The following is an 18,362-nucleotide window of genomic DNA, read 5'->3' as shown; positions in this document are numbered from 1 at the left end:
GTAAACCTGGAGCCCAAGGTCTGTGAACCTAGAAAAATTACTTATCTCTCAGTACATCAAAGGGCAATAATAAGAAGACTTGATTTAGGGGCTTTGAAGAAGAATAATCAGGTAATGAAATATCAAGTAGTTAGTTCAGGGTTTGGCATCTAGTCAGCATGTAAAAATGTTAGTTGGGAGACAGGTTAGTGTGCAGGATAGGTTAAGCATATTTCTTCTTTCTTCGTCTAGATGACCCCTATACTTCCTTTGAGACTGAGCAGAGGGTCACCACTTTCAAGAAGTTTTTTCCACCCCACTCTCACCTAAGCATCCCTCTTCCCATGTTCCTACACCTCCACAAAGAACTCTGTCGCATCCTGTTGTCTTTTTGACTCTCTGTCTTTGAACAGTGAGCCTCTCTAGGTCTTATTGTAGTGCTTAAAGCCTAGTAAGGGCCAGGCAAGGTGGCTCACACCTGTAATCTCAGCACTTTGCAAGACTGAGGTGGCAGGATTGCTGAAGCCCACAAGTTTGAGACCAGCCTAGGCAACACAGCAAGACCCCCATATCTACAAAAAACAAACAAATAAAAATAAAATAAAATAAACCTGGTAGGCATTAGTAAATAATCGTTGAACAAATAAGAGTGAATGAGTGAAAAAAATGACCGAATTACCATATAGCCATTTAAAACACATTATTCTTCTGAATGAGAAGATGGAGACATTAGCTTCCAACAATATAGGAAACTGCATGTCTAGAGAACCTCTGCTGAAAGGTTTGTTTATTTATTTATTTTTTGAGACAGCGTCTCACTCTGTCACCTAGGCTGGAATGCAGTGGCAAGATCATAACTCACTGCATCCTCAACTTCCCAGGCTCAAGCAATCCTCTCACCTCAGCCTCCAGAGTAGCTGGGACTACAGGAGTGTGCCACTGCACCTGCCTTATTATTGTTTGTTTTTTGTAGAGACAAGGTTGTCCTTTGTCGTCCAGGCTCATCTCCAACTCCGGGGCTCAAGGAATCCTCCCGCCTTGACCTCCCAAAGTGCTGGAATTACAGGCATGAACCACCATGCCTGGACAATTTTTACCTTTTTAAGAAATTTTTTAACAAATCAAATGAACCCAGAGTTCACATATGCCAGCTTCCATAACCATCAGTATATGACCTACCTTGTTTCAACTATACCCATGCCCACATACACATGCAGATTACTTTAAAAAAATTCAGAAAGCACATTATTACATGCAAATATTTCAGAATATATTTAAAAGACAATAACTCTTTAAAACTGTTTTTAATATCATAGTAATATATTATACATACTTATACCAATTCTCTTAAATTATTAATAAATATCTAACCATTATTTGGGCTATAATTTGTTGACATGTCCTATAAGTTCCTTCTCCTTTTATTTTTGTTTGCCTTGCAATTCTCTTTGAAATGTTTTTAAAGTGTTTTATAAATCCATGCCTAAAATAGCATTAAAGTCAGGAGACGGTTTGGAGCACTGGCCGTTGGGAAAATTTCTCCATCACTGATAGTGAAAGCCTGGGATTTACTGGATAAGAGAAATCAGGAAAGAGGAGGCAAAACCTACAACCTCCACCACACACACACACACGCACACACCCACACGCACACACACAAATAAAGAAAACCCAAGATGAGAACTATTTATAGGTGCTCTGAGTTCTAGAAGAAGAATACTGAAATATTCTAAGGAGAGGATACCATTCTAGAAATTGAAGCTACAACCAAACAAAAGAAATTATTCCTGACCTCAAGGACTTTTCATTCTAGTAGAGGGAGAAAGGCAATTTGAAAATAAATAAGCTAAACATTTAGTGTTTCATACAGTAATTAAATACCGTGCAAAAAATACTGTGCAAGCAGCAAAAGAAACTAGCATCAGATTGAACAGGCAACATACAGAATGGGAGAAAATTTTTGCAATCTACCCAACTGGCAAAAGTCTAATATCCAGAATCTACAAGGAACGTAAACAAATTTACAAGAAAAAAACAACCCCGTCAAAAAGTGGGCAAAGGATATAAACAGACCCTTGTCAAAAGAAGATATTTATGCAGCCAACAAACATATATAAAAAAGCTCATCATCACTGATCACTAGAGAAATGCAAATCAAAACCACAATGAGATGTCACCTCATGCCAGTCAGAATGGCAATTATTAAAAAGTCAAGAAACAATAGATGCTGGCTAGGCTGTGGAGAAGTAGGAACGCTTTTACACTTTTGGTGGGAGTATAAAGTAGTTCAACCATTGTGGAAAACAGTGTGGTGATTCCTTAAGGATCAAGAACCAGAAATACCATTTGACCCACCAACCCCATCACTGGGTATATACCCAAAGGATTATAAATCATTCTACTATAAAGATACATGCACATGTATGTTTATTGCAGCACTATTTACACTACCAAAGACTTGGAACCAACCCAAATGCCCATCAATGATAGACTGGATAAAGAAAATGTGGCACATATACACCATGGAATACTATGCAGCCATAAAAAGGAATGAGATAATGTCCTTTGCAGGGACATGGATGAAGCCAGAAGTCATCACTCTTAGCAAACTAACGCAGGAACAGAAGACCAAACACCGCATGTTCTCACTCATAAGTGGGAGCTGAACAAAGAGAACACATGGACACAGGGGAGGGAACAACACGCTTCAGGGCCTGTCAGGGGTTGGGGGGGACATGGGAGGGAGGGCATTAGGACAAATACCTAATGCATGCGGGGCTTAAAACCTAGATGATGGGTTGACGGGTGCAGCAAATCACCATGGCATATGTATACCTACATAACAAACCTGCACATGTATCCTGGAACCTAAAATAAAAAAAAATGTGCAGAAAAAAAAAAAAGAGCATGGTATGTGTGTCTGTGTGTATCTTTCCATGTGTGCCTGTGGCGGGTGGGGGGCAGGGCGAGTGGTGGCAGGGGAGAAGGTTTTGCAATTTTAAATTTCAAAATCTTCAATGAGAAGGGAATATTTGAGTAAGAACTTGAAGGAGGTAGGGGGTCATCTAATGTAATATATGGGGAAGGACAGGTCAAGGCAGAGCTGGTATTATGTGCCAAGGCCCAGAGTCAAATTCCAGACAGAGCAACAGCACAGGTGTGGCTGGATCATTGAGAGGGAATGAGAGCAAAAGAGGACCACTTCCCCACATAAACACACACACAGAATTGGATTTCTACCTGGAACCATATTAAAAATAAATTAGTAAAGACTTTGATGTAAAAATTTCAGAAGAAAAACATAGGCTAATATCTTTATATCTTTAGGATAAAAAAAGTATTTCAAAACATAAAAAATAAAAGCCATAACGTAGTTGGATAAATTCAACTACATTAAAATTAAGCATTTCTCTTCCCCAAATGACAAGCTTCATTCTGAATGGGGATAATTTTACTACATGGAACCACAAAAGTTTAATATGGAGACTATAATCTTCAAAACAGTAAGAAAAACAATTCAACCATGTCAGTCATTTACCAAGTGCTTTACATGAATCAACTCACTCAATCCTCATAAGAACCTATAACAATTACTCTTGTCATTCCCATTTTGCAGGTAAGAAAATGGAGACACAGAGAGCTTCTGTTCCTCATGCAAGGTCCCAGTAAGTGGTTGAGAGACTTTGGAACCCAAGCAATGTGGGTCCAGAGTGTGCATTCCGCTTTGTTGCCTGTAACAAAAATGAACCTCTCCCTGGTCCTATTTCCTCCAATCCTTAGATGTTCTCAGCTGAAGAAATGCAATCCAATAAAATAATCTGAGTTAATGGCAACTCTTCCCAGAAATTAAAACTCAAAGCCAGTTAGGATCCTGGCCTGGAGAGAAAGCCAATAAAGACTGGGACCAGCATCATGGATGGATGGGCAGGTGATCTGTGCAGTCTCAGGGGTGGTTTAGGGCTCTGTGACAATAGTCTTGAAATTCTCAATAATTTTTTGAACACTGAACTCCACATTTTCCCATTTTGCACAGGACCCTCAAATTTTGTCCCTGATCCTGATAAGAAGAGATGGGAATGTGGGGACTTTGTGAGATACCCTGGATCTTTGGAACCATTTTACTCCTTAGAAGCTCACACTCAGAAGAGGTGGCTAAAAAGGGTCTGTGCCTTGCTGAAATCCAGCCAATTGCTTACTACTGTTTCTATTAAATCCGTTGAGCAGGGAAGAGTGTTTGCATAATCATCCAGTTATGTGAATTACACAGGATGGATGGATGAAAAATTGAGCACACTCCAGGTCATGAAGACATGCTATTAAACACTATCGAGTTATGATAATTCATATGCTTACCTACTGCTGTGGTTTCAATATTTGCCCCCTCCAAAACTCATGACAAAAGTGAATCCCCTATGTGGCAGAAGTGAGAGGTGGCTCCTTTAAGAGGTGACTGGATTTTATTTATGGATTAATGGGATTACGGATCACGGGAGTGGGACCCGTAGCTTTATAAGATGCCAAAGAAAGACCTAAGTTCACATGATCAACCCTTCACCATGTGATGCCCTGTGCCACCTTGGGACTCTGTAGACTCCCCACGAGCAAGAAGGCTCTCACCAAATGCGGACCCTCACCCTTGAACTTCCCAGTCTCCAGAACTGTAAGAAATAAATTTTGTTTCTTTATAAGTTACCCAGTTTCAAGTATTTTGTTATAAGTAACAGAAAACAGACTAAGATAACTTCAATTCCCCTTTTCTATTCAAGAAAATATTTTCCTCATTTCTTGCCCAGATAATTGAATGGTCCCCTAATTTTTCCACTGGTTTCCAATGTCGTCTCACCTCATTATTTTCTATACTATTTTCTTTTTCTAAAACATAAATGTGATTTTATCACACTCATGGTTAAAATTTAAATTCCACCAGAATTCCAGATAAGATACAAACTTGGTAGAATGTCTTCACGAGCGGGTACCTGCATATCTCTTTATTTCTTATCATTCCCCCATATGGGTTGTGTATCCCAAGCATCATTAGCCACCTGTAATTCATTCAGTTACAAAGTACTTTCACACAGCCAAGCTTCTGTACACATATCTCCTCTGCTACTTACTACTTGTAAACATCTATTCCATGTTTACCTGGTAACTCCTGATCTACTAAGTCTCACCTCCCCAATCACAGGACTCCCTTCTTTCTGGCTCCATAATGTCCTGTACTCATTCCTGTTATAGAAAACATGTGTTTGCATGCCTGAATTTCTATTTAAGTGCTCCGTGATAAAAGTAACCTCATTTTATTCATCTTAATGTAACTAGCAGTTGGCATAAAACTTGGTATACAGTAAGCCCTAGAAAAAGGTTTACTGACTCATCCATTATTATTCATTCAACAAATATTTAGGTAATTACTTTGTGGCAGTCACCATTCAACATGTTTCAGCAGAGAACAAGACATGGAACTTCCATTCTAGTTGGGATAATGATAATTGCTGTGAGAAAATAATACAGAGTAATGAAGAAGAAAAAAAAACAGGAAGAAGGGGGATTTTTAAATAGGGTAGTCAGAGGCAGACACTCTGAGGCAATGGCATTTTAACTGAAAACAAAGTGTTGAATAAAAGCACCCAAGGGCCAGGCACCACTGGAGGTCAGGAGTTTGAGACCATCCTGGGCAACACAGAGAGATGCTACCTCTAAAAACATAAAAATAATCAGGCGTGGTGGCACGCACCTGTAGTCCCAGCCACTCAGGAGGCTTAAGCCCAGGAGTTTGAGGCTGCAGTGAGCTATGACTGCATCATTGCACCCCATCAGGTGACAAAGCCAGACCCTGTTTCTAAAAAAGTGAAAAGTTTTAGAAAGGCACCCAGGCAAAAGGCTAGAAGAGATTCCCAGAAAGAGGGAACAGTAAGTGAAAGTCTGAATGAGATGGAAAAAAGCTTGGTCAGAAAGGAGGCTGACATAGCTAAAGGGAAGTAAAGGAGGCAGTGGAAAGTATTAGGGTGAGAGTTCACCAAGTCGCACGGCACCAGACAGCAAGGGTGGAGTCCTCTTAATGATGCCTTCCATGTGAAGGGAGATCCACTTCCATAGTAGTTCTTGTGCCTTGACTCTCTACACCTCCCTCACCTACATCTCCTGTGGAGATGTAAATCATGACTTTGGCAACAAGAAACTGATACATTTCTTGTTATGATATGCTCTCTCCTTTTCTTTCTTTGGGATACGTCTGCTCAGAAAATGCACATATTCTTCTGTCTTCTCAGCTGTGCTCACCCAAGGAGAATGTTTTGCTATTCAGTACAGGCTGTGGCCAGGTAGGAAAGCCTGTCTAATTCTGGGGTTGAGAAGCAGCTGATATTTTGATCTCCCTCTGCTTTGATTAACTTTCAGTTGTTTCTGATTTTGGGTGGAAGGAAAGATAGTTTGGGAAAAGATGGAATTCTTCAAGGTTCAAGACCATGTATGACCTTGTTGGTCATATATAATGTTATTTTATATTCTTGCAAAGTTTACATTCTTGCAATGTTACATTGCATGTTTACATTGCAAGAATATAAAATGACATTATACATGATAAACAGGTCCTAATGTTTAAATACTAAACATTATTATTGTTCCACTATGAGAGCCCCCCCTCACTCTTTCTCTGTCTCGACATACACACATACACACGCACACACATACACACTCACATAAACATACACACTGCTAAGTATCTTCTGTTTATAAAATTCATAATGTTTATGCCTTGAGCTTAAATAGTCATGAATCCTACAATTTACTTGGGGTAGAAAAAATACATAATGGAGAAAATTATCACATATTGAGCAACTTTGCATGGGATAAGAAAGCCCTATGAAGTTAAGTTGTCTTACAGATATTACATATTATATCTATGTTACACATGAGCATATAGTTTCAGAGATGTTAACTAAAATTCAAAATACTGTGAAAAAGTGACAATACCAGGAGTCCACCAGAAGTCTGTTAGATTCTAAAAAAGGTCAAGCTCTTCCCAGTACCCATGAACAAATAAGACAGAAGCTTAAGACAGAATATAATTCAGTGCGAAACTAAATATAATCAAACATCCACTCAAAAGCATTGTGGTCATTCAGCAATGAGAGAGGATATTGCTGGCTCAAGTTAGAAATTAACACACTTGCAACAGAGCTTGTCACCACATTCGTGTGATCTGTATTCCTTTGGTTATCCATAAGGTCTCAAAATACAATATGACAAACATATTTTAGATATCAGCAAATTAAATCTAACTTGGAAAGATTTCAAAAGGCAGAGAGTCTATCATTCCTAGCATACTTATTTTTGGATATTTTATTTATGATCATTGAAAGCATGTCATTCCAGAAATATTCTATCTGAACCATCTATATGTAGCAACTTAATTTCAAAACAACTTCAAGAGATTCACAGACTATCCAGGGCTGATTTTTCTACTAGGGGACACTTAAAAGTTGTTTGTCTAAACCATGAGCAATCTATTTCATTTAAGCATAAAGTAGCTTGTTGATTTTTTAACCATACATAAATTATTTGATGTTTTTATAAAACCTGAAGTTTCAAATTGATATATTAAGATCCCAATGTTTAACTCCACCTCTAATTCTAGGCTTTACTATAATAATATAAATTAAACACTTTATAAATCTACCATCACATTAGCTAACCCAGTGAGTCAAAAACCTCCGGAAACCACACTCTAATTTAGAAATCACATTGAAATGGGACCAAAGCCAAGGAAGCAAAAAATAACTAATTTATTCTTTTTAATTGCAGAAGATTATTTAATAAACTGAAGGAAACACCCCAGGTAAATCAAAGCTAATTTATTCAATTTCTTCATAGGAAGTACATCAAAAGACTAAAAATATACTTCTAATTAGAATGGGTACCTTGGTTTCTATAAAACAACTCATTTACCTCTATCGACAAATAAGAATCATATTATATTGTCTGCAGAGAATTCTACAGATATGAGAATGAAACCAGCCAGAAGCAAAAGCATTTTGTAAAGAAAGAACACTCATATTGAAGGAAACACAGATTTTTGCCACCAATGCTAATAATAAATCATTTTAAATATCCATGTGCCATAGGATTTATTTATGGTAACATAGCCTGGCTGTTCCACGAAGAAAATTAATAGTGCTTTAAAGTCACTATTAGATATAAACTAAGACAGCATAGTATTGCATTTCAGGTGTAAAGAACAGAACTCCACACACTAAACCTACATTTGCTTATCTTTCTGCTTTTTAAATTTATTTTGTTTTCTTTGGTATGTTGGTTTATTTTATAAGACAACCAAACAGCACTGTTTATCATAGACCACTGATAGGAATCACAGCCAAGGCATTTTGGTAAGAATGCAAGTACACACAGACTGCATATTTTGCTTGTCTGAACTAAAATATCACTCAGATCATACTCAGAGTGAGTAATATCAGACTCAGATCATACTCAGAGTGAGTACCTCATTCTCCCAGTTTCTATTCCACATGAAGGTGTTATTCTACTGCATTTCTATTCTCTGGAGCTTCATTTTCCTTTTCTATATTTCTACCTAATTCACAACAGCCCTTTTCTCAAACCAAAGCTGTGAAGTAAAAAAAAAAAAAAAAAAAAAAAAAGCAAGCCTTTTCTATTGGAAACATGCTAGTCTCTTCCAATAGTTTAGCACCCAGAGTGTAACTGGTGGAGGCACAAGAGAGGGATGAGCCAGGTTCTGAATTCCCTCCAAAAAGTGGAGCTTGAACCAGTTGGAAAGGCCAACCTCCCCGTGGAACACCACAAGCCCTCTCCGGAGGGATGCTCCTGCATCATTCTCTGCCACCTTTGTGCATCACTGTCCCCTCCCCTTCCACATGAGTCTCTGGCCTCAAGGGCTGCTCCAATAGGCTTCTGAGCCACTGAGGGACCTGGCACAAAAGTATTATACAAACCAGGGCCAGGCACAGTGGCTCACACCTGTAATCCCAGCACTTCAGAAGGCTGAGGCAGAAGGACAGCAAAAGGAGTTCCAGACAAGCCTGGGCAACATGGCGAGACCCCATCTCTACAAATAAATAAATAAAGGGCCAGGCCTGGTGGCTCATGCCTATAATCCCAGCACTTCCAGCATTACTTCCAACTGTAATCTAAACTGTAATCCCAGCATTTATAGCTCCCATCACACCCATAGGGTTTTTTTTCTTACATTTGGACATCTGCCAGATCTGTTATAAATTCCCATCAAGCCCCCCAACCCTTTGTTTTTTTTTTTTTTTTTTTTTTTTGAGACAGAGTCTCGCTCTGTCACCCAGGCTGAAGTGCAGTGGCATGATTTCAGCTCACTGCAACCTCTGCCTCCCGGGTTCAAGCGATTCTCCTGACTCAGCCTCACGAGTAGCTGGGATTACAGGCATGTGCTACCACATCTGGCTAATTTTTTATATTTTCAGTAGAGACAGGGTTTCTCCATGTTAGCCAGGATGGTCTCGAACTCCTGACCTCATGATCCACCCACCTCGGCCTCCCAAGGGCTGGTATTACAGGCGTGAGCCACTGCGCCCAGCCAAGACCCCTTTTACCTAATGTAGCTTAAAGTTCTTTGATCCTTAAAAACTAAAATAGAGTTGATTAAAACAACACAGTAGGTGCTTGTCACACATTTCTCAAACAATCTGTTGGTCTATGGTTACATCCAATGCTTCTCCAATATAGTGGTTTTCAAACTTTATTGTGTCTTAGAATCACTAAGGAAGTTAATTTAAAAATGCAGAGTTTTAGGCCCCAGTTCCAACTTCAAAATCAGAATCTCTTAGGGTTCTAGCAAGCATACCACACAGATCTGAGCTGAAGGTTTGTGGACCACATTTTCAGAAACCTGTTCAATTACTTTAAGTTTTACCCACGGGTCAGTCTAGGACACTAAAAGATTGCACATGACCACAATTTTGCATTTCACCTTATATATGGCCTTGGGTTTTTATCAAGAACGAAACCCTATCAGACAGTGCATTGCATTTCCCATAACCATATGGTTGAAAACAGTAACTACTACCCCAGTTGGTGACTTTGAAGCACGAGTGGGAAATGACTTTAAGAAATTAGCAATTCAATAGGTTTTGCTTCCCTGAGATAGTCATACAACTTCATTACAGATAATAGACAGACTGACAGACAAATGAATGAACAAACAAGTACACAAAAAATAAATAAAAATGATAGAATTTTTTCCCTTTTAACCACATTTGCCAGGAAAACAGAGACAAATCTGATGCTCTAAGTCTCACACACTCTGTGGCCAACGTCGTCACATATGTTCTTGCATTAAGCTATGCAAATTTTTATGAGGAAAATTGAGCTGTGAAGGAAGACTAACTTCTCGTTCAGCAGTTTGCTAGGTTTGCTTAAGCAAATTGGTTCTTGCTAGCATCTATTTATTTGACATGGATTTACTAAGTTCTGTTCTGCCTTAAGTTTATTTCTTGGTACTTTGGGGACTGAAAACTGAAAAGGGCAAGGTTTAAGCCCTCAAGGAGTTCACAATCCTTCAGAGGAACACAAAACACCTTTACCAATAGCCAGACTGCAAACATTTCAGACAGAGCATGGGACTTCAGAGGGCAAAGTGTTTATTTCCAGCAGAAGGGTCAGAACAAACTCTGTGGAGGGGGCTAGGATTTAGGCTGTAGTAAGATTTGGGCAAGCAGTAGAGATGAAGGGAGACATTCAGGCAGAGGGGAAATCAGACTTTTCTTGCCTTCTTCCATAGTGCCCTGACCTTCATAGCACACTTTGTGACTGCATCTTTATTCAGGTAGTTTTGTGTTCAACTCCTCTATCTTCCCTCACTGGATGGTATTCTCTACGATGGAGAGATTTCTGTATGTTTCATTCACTACTTTATCCATATACACACAGCGCCTAGCACACAGCCTGAAACGCAGGATCATTCAGCAAATATTTGTTGTTAAGTGGTTAAGAGCTTAGGATTCCATGTGGTTTTGGTATTTATTAATGTTAGTTTTGCAACCTTGGGCTCTATCTTTAAGCCCTATTTTCTTTTACATAAAATAGAGTAATAATTCTTTCAACATAAGGTTGAGGTAAGAATTAAATGGAATAGTGAGAACATTTAAAACCTACTCTGGTGGCAATTTTGAAATATGCTTTATTATTAACTCTAGGCAGGTGAGGTGATGGATATATTAATTAGCTTGATTTAATCATTCCATCATGTATACATGTATCAAAACATCACATTATACCCCATATTTATATACAGTTATTATTTGTCAAATTAAAATAAAATTTTAAAATAGAAGTAATCAAATAGAGTAATGCATATAAATTATAGCTATTATAAATTTAATAGGAAGAGGCAGTGAAATAAAGCAAAACTATGCTGAAGTTATAGCCTTTCACTGGCAAGAATTAAACTTGTCTAGCTTGCCTTTCTGTAGCTGAACAGGAGCACCAGGACAGACAATGTAGCAAGTTTAAACACTGGGTTTTTTAACTTGGTCTTTGCTCCTTTGAGGCCATATGGCAACTTCCCTTGAGGAGTGTGTTGCCTCATCTGTGAAGCAGGAGTAATAAAACAGCTCTTCCTTTACCATTAAACTGTCCTGACAATTTATGAGATAGCACATGTCAAATTAATGTGTGATCTATAACATGCAAAGCCTGCAATAAAGGTACTGGACTTCAAATTCTTGATTTGCTAATAGACAAGAAAGACTATCTGTGCCTATGGATGTAGCAAGTAGCTCGTTGTCGTGGGATAAAAACAGATAAGCCCTAGAGCCAGAGAGAAGCCTGGATTTCCACCATGCTCTGATTCTAACATACTGGGTAACCTCGGAGCAGTTACTTCATCTTTCTGAGCTTGGTGTTTCTCACCTGTTAGTCATGTATGATTAGACTTACCTCCTGGGGCCACTGTAGGATGCAAGAGAAAATCCAGTAGACTATACTGTAGATTTCAGGTCTTTCTAAATATACATCAATCTCTAGTCCAGAGGGAAGAAGACGGAGTAATGGAGTGAGAGGAAAGAGTCTGGACTGACAATGCTTTCCCTACCAGATATTACTTGGATTAACATTTCTTTGAAGGAGTTTAGACCAGACTAAGAGTTCTGAGCTCTGAGCAGCAACTCCCATTCTAATGTAAGTGTTCCTCCTTGTCTCAGTATGGTCATCGGACTCTAATGCAATGTTGTTATTTTTTTTTTAAACCAAATCTGATAACTTCTTATGCGGGGTTTTAATAAAGACAGGCAGAAGATCCCATAATTAAAAAAATATATAGGAAAAAATAAAATAATATTTAATTGAGAGAATTTTATCCATGAACTTTTTCCCCCTATGAAATAGGAAAAGGTGTTTTTTAATGAATTTTATCAGCAGAACTCCTCAGTTTGGCAGAAGTATTATTGAAAACTATAATCTCTACAAGCCCAAGTGTTTGTCGTTCCTCCTACTAAATTATCAGGAATATTTATTGAGCACTGGGACCATGTAGCGATCTATGGACTTTAAATTACAGACTAAAGGAAGCAAGTTACACCCAGCAGCACCTGTGAAGACAAAGATACCTGCACTCATGTATCAGAGCTGGGTCTGGAGACATCGATGTGAGCTATACATCTTGCTGTGTTTAATTTCTCAAAAAACTCTTTGGAAAAGATAACATTATCTAAAGTTTACAGAAGAAACAAAAAAGATTTAGGTAACGTCAATCTCAAGGAAGAACAAGGTGTTAAAGTGCCTTGAACATTATTTTTTGGGCCAGTGTTCCAGGCTCAAAGCTTTGATTACTCAAACACAGCAGACCCTCTATTATTTGGGAACAAATGGATGAACAAAGGTGTGGATGGTTCTGTGAAGAGGAGGGGGCCACATATGCTTGACAGGGGAAAGTAAAGAGGCAAGTTAGTGCTTGTATGTATTTGAGTGGGCAAAATTCTGGAATCCAGAATAGGTTATTTTTACCTTTTTGACATTCAGATTGACCAGTTCCCTAATTGACCTGGATCTGTGGAATAATCTGTTAATGCCACAGTTTCATTTAAAAGAAAGCAAAATCTTTAAGCATTAGAACTGACTGGGGAAGAGATGTGTCTATTTATTCATTCATTCAACAACAATTACTAAATGCCCACCATGTGCCAGACACTGTACTAAGCACTGGAAGTTCATTAATGAAATGAAAGACTCCTACCCTCTGAGTTTATAGTCTGTCCAGAGCAATACAGGCATAGAAACAGGTGCCATAATACCAGCATGTAGAGGACTTAATAATTGCAGGAACTCAACATAATACAAGCTCCCTGACCTTAAGGAACTTTTATCATCATCATTATCATCTAATAATAATAATAACAAATAAATGCTAAGTACTGAGTATTTCTCATCCTCCACCACTAGTAAGAGTCACCTATGGAGAGTTTTAACGCTGAAAATATCCTTTCAACCTGAAGAGATTCTGATTGGTTTGAGCTGGGGTGAGTCTCAGACATCTGTGGATTGAAAAAACTCAATGGGGTTGAGATTAAATAAAAATAAACAATAGTAAATTTCTATATACCTGGCACTGTTCCATCTGTCCTCCTTATAACAGCTCTTTGAAGTAGCTGGTAATATTACCTTATTTTGGAAAGGAAGAAATTGAAACACAGCAAGTTTAAAGTAATTTGTATGGCAGAGATGAGATTTGAATCAAGGAAATCTAACTCAAGAATCCATGCTACATGCCTAGGTGTTTAAAAAAAAATCACTGTCTGTTTTTGATACTGAAAACTCAAGAGGTAACTCCAGGAGGGTTGACACAGGAGGAAATGAATTCCACCAAATGAGGTTTCCTACCAATTCCCAGCAGCAGTCTCTGCTGTTGGCCTTCCTGTTACCATGACACTGCTCTCTAGCTCACTCCTTAGAGATGAAAGTTAAAGGAGTTCCTTCAGCCTCCAATTATTTGAGACTGACAAATAATTAATCATTAGCTCCATGGTTTCTAGAAATATTCTGTTGAATATTCTATTTTTAATATACCATAATTTATCTTCAGTCTAGTAACTTTACCTCTTTCATATTCTCCCTTTCCATAAACTGGTAAACATATCTGGCAATTATCTCAACTAGTCCTTTTGGGTGTGGAAGTGGGGATTAATGTATAGACAAAATAAGAATGTCCATGAGGTGATAATTGCTTTGTGCAGCCATCATGACATGAATACATTGTATTAACCATTAATACTTTGTATTCACATTGCATTCATTTATGCATATGTTTGAAACTTCATATAATTAAATGTTGAAAATATGCAGCAAGGCTCTTTAAAGGTTCTCTGATATAAATCATACAAAGGATAATACTGATTTGTGATCTTAAAGTAAAAACATGAGGAATGACAATGATGGCAGCAGTGGCCAACATAATTAATTCCAACACTACCTCGGCAAACAATTATCAATGGTCTCCTATAACAGGCTGAAATGTATGTGAAGACATATTGTAAAATATTAGGCATTAAATGAGTGTTTCTCATCCTTCACTGCTTATAAGTCACCTATGGAGAATTTATCGCAGATATCCTTCCAACCTAAAGATATTCTGACTGGGCGGGCTGGGATGAGGCTCAGACATCAGTCCATTGAAAAAACTAAAGGCTGAGAAATGTTGCAATAAGCTAGCTGTTGCTATTATTAACTAGACCACATTGGATACTTTAGGCAGGCATTTGTTTTGTAGGCTGAAAAAAGAATAGAAGAAAACAGCAAAAAAAAAAAAGTACAAAGGAAATGGTTCGTGATAATTTGGTGAATTTATTACAGGGACTGAAGAATTAGGCCACAACAGGCCAAAGCTTGATAGACCTTTGGTTTGCTTAGAAAAATATGAGACTATCATTGATCCTTTAAGGAGAGACTCAGAGAAGGAGGAATAAGAAGATCATAAGCATGGCTTGAGATTGTCCATGGCTTGAAAATACCTTTATGTTTTAAGGTTTTAGCTCTTGAATCAAGCCGGGACAAAATAAAACCTGACGGAATTCATCCATTGCTATGTCACAAATCACTGCTGGTGCACTTGGTCCCATAAACAACCTTGGCTTTCTGAGAGGTTTAGAATGAACGTGGTTTGAGATTTTCATAATCCAGTGATTCCCTGGTTGTTATCACAAACCTATTAAATCAGAATGTATTAGAGTAGGATCCAGGCATCAGAGATTTTCAGGTGATTCCATTGTGCAGTCAACTTTGAAGACCACAGACATAACCGCTTCTCAACTTTGATGACCCAACCTGAAGCCATAGCCACAAAACAAAAAAAGGAGTTCTTCTGTCTTCATTAGTCGAGGTTTCCACTTGCTCTGGTCCATCCTCCTCCTGGATCTCTTCCTGACCTCTCAGTTTAAGTTAAACCACTTTTAACCACTCCCCTTCACCTCCCACCCTGTCCCCACCTGCTAGTCTGTCCCTGGTCCATGCTTCTCACTTTAAAACTTTGATCAGACATTGCCTCACCCAGAAATTTCTAATGAACCCAACCCCGCATAGAGCTTTATACCCAACATATATGTATCACCTGGGAACTTATAGAAATATACAATTCCAGGCCCCATTTCGGTCTATTGAATTAGAATCTGCAATTAATAAGATCCCCAGGGGACTTGTATGCACATTCAAGTTTGAGAAGTACTGTTTTAGGACACCATTTCCCAAAAAGTCTGTTGAAGGACACTCTCAAGGACACAAAATCCACTGCCTAGATTTTAATCCGCACTCCTCTATCTCTTTACACAACACCTGTACATTCAAAATATATGCACTGAGTAGCAACTATATGCCCCATACTAGGCTGGGTTTAGAGTATCCAGTTGTGAAGATGGTGGAAGTGGTCCTTATATTCATGGACTTAAAATCTAGCAGGGGCAAGTCTAACAAGAAAAGATAATTTAAGGGGATGAATAGGATGCTGTGGGATAATCTACTTAATGGAGGAGGATGGGGGAGTCTACAGTAGTCTGGTAGATGAGAGCAGCATTCCAGGGGAAAGGCAGGTCTCTGTAGATACACAGGCTGAGGACCCGGGAAGGAGGGGCAGCTGAAGAGAATGGAGTGCCAACCTCATGCACAGCAGGTGCAAACTATACAACTATACAAACACTTGCCCAGTGCCTACTCAGTGTCAGGAGGTGGTCTAAGTGCTTTCTTTATAGGCAGGTGTTATTATTAACCTCCATTTTACAAATTAGAAAACTGAGGCAAAGAGACATTAAGTAATATATCTGCTACATAGCAAACATGAAAATACAACCACAGTTATCTGGCTCCAGCATCCATGCTCTTATGCCCCAATCTACAGTCTCTTAAACTGGGAAAAAAAACAAGATACATTCAAGAAGCTGAAAGAAGGGCCACATATCTAGCGTTAAAGCAAGTTTTGCTCATGGATCTATGGGCTCCATCAGAATGAGGGAGACGAGGAGGAGGAGGGTCACCATTCAGGGGGCCCTAGCTTCTTACAACTGAAAATTTCTGGGACACCACCCCCCCATAGTTATTGAATCAGAATTTCTAGTCATGGATCCAGAAATCTGCATATTAATAATTCTTCCAGGTGATTCAAATGCAATAAAGTTTGAGAACCATAGGCTTATAGATACAATTTCCTCCAAATTTTTCCCCCTCTTATAGTGTCCTGTAATTAACCCATAGTTACTTAATAATATCTTAGTCCCAAGCTATAAACTAAAAATTAGGGTAAATAGGATTGAAATGGAAAGCTGGAAGAAATCTGAAAATTGAATCTTTGCCTCTGTAGGTCCCTGACTGCCAAGCTGTGAAAAGAATTATCTGGGCTTGAAGAATTGGTGGCAAAGAGAGACCACAGAGACTTAGAACTATTTTCATTACAATGCCAATGATTTAAACAACTAATTGAATTTCTGGAAATTGGAGTAAAATTTAAAGTTGCTTGAGGAACAATTACTTTACATGCCCTGTGATTCCGTTTCCTTTACCCAATGCTAGGAAAAGACTCTCCAGTAGCAGAGAGAATTTTCTTGAATGTAGAATAGGTGGACTAGCAGTGGCTAAAGTAATCTCTGGTCACCAGGGCACACTGGCTCAACAAAGTTAATCTGCTTCCCTATGTATCAAGAGACTTCAATAACTCCAACACCAATTTCTGGCTGCTGGTGGGGTATTCTCTTAAATCCAGTCTCTTCTTATAACAATTTAACAGGAATTGTACTAAACTCTCATGAATAAGAAGCTAAAATAAATAGTTAAATATCAACAAAACTCCATCATCATAGATTATATTATTCCCTTGCATCTTATCAATATTTATCTTTAAGAGCTTGAAATGTTTTTAGGTACATTATGATTAAAATTCCCAAAGTCAGCCTCCTAGATGCTGCCTTTCAAATGGCTCAGAGTAGAGACAGAAGCTTTTCTATCCTTGCCTGCTTTGAAACGACATTACACTGGCTATTTAACAAACCCTGTTCATCCAGTTCATTTACTTTGGATCTTCATTCAGAAAAAAACAAGTTTTGGAGAGTTTCTAGAAGAGATTGTCGTTTCCATCCCTCAAAAGATCAGATAAATAAAGCACTGTATTTTCAAAGCTCTTTCTTATTCAATGTATTTATTTCTGATTCTATCCATAAGCAAATCTCATTGTATGCTACTATATTAATTCTGTGACAAATGATCATCAGGAAGATGAAATGCCATAGTTATAAAACTTTGTGCTGGTACTCCACCATTGCAATACAAAGATGATAATTTTCAACAGGTGCCACAGCTCTGTTTTCAATCACTGAGAGGTGTTTGAATGACCATCAGATCTATGTCAATATTGGCTTTATTTTCACGTCACTCTCACGAAGTGATGCTATAGATATGTGAGTCAAAGAGCATTTGAAGGATCTTAGACGCACACAGCTGGAATTATCCAAGGAAAGCAAACCTCTGACAGGCTTTTTTCTCTGCAGAACTGCATACTTTCTTCTTTCTTCTTCCAGGAGGCTGGTGCAGCAAGAGAGCCATGCTCTGCTTGAGAGGACATGGCTGCCAAGAGAAGCCCAGGGACCAGTGGATGAGACTCACTGAACTCTGGGCATTAGAGGTAATATTCTTTCTGTCTTTCCTTTTCTTGGATTTGCCTTTTGTAACCATGCAATGGTAAGATCCAAAGGGCCAAGGCTAGTGTATGAGACTAGGAGAGAGGGACTAAGTTATTAACTCTAGATCTTAGGCCAAAATGGAGTTTTGGGATGAGGATTAATTATATCTTCACATGAACTAGCCCATCAGGGAGCTGCAATACACTTTGGGGGAAAGATCTGTTCTAAGAG

The 18,362-nt window shown here is 38.6% G+C and overlaps 1 protein-coding gene across 2 annotated transcripts in view; it reads right to left on the bottom strand.

The window, feature by feature from the left end:
* Positions 1–18,362, bottom strand: part of THSD7B (thrombospondin type 1 domain containing 7B) — a 912,174-nt gene that overhangs the window by 416,171 nt on the left and 477,641 nt on the right. The window lies entirely within an intron of this gene.

The sequence above is a fragment of the Homo sapiens genome, chromosome 2 (genome assembly GCF_000001405.40).
Source record: "Homo sapiens chromosome 2, GRCh38.p14 Primary Assembly".
Lineage (NCBI taxonomy): Eukaryota > Metazoa > Chordata > Mammalia > Primates > Hominidae > Homo > Homo sapiens.
The sequence above is the reverse complement of the archived record's forward strand: the minus strand, read 5'-3'. Positions and strand labels throughout refer to the sequence as shown.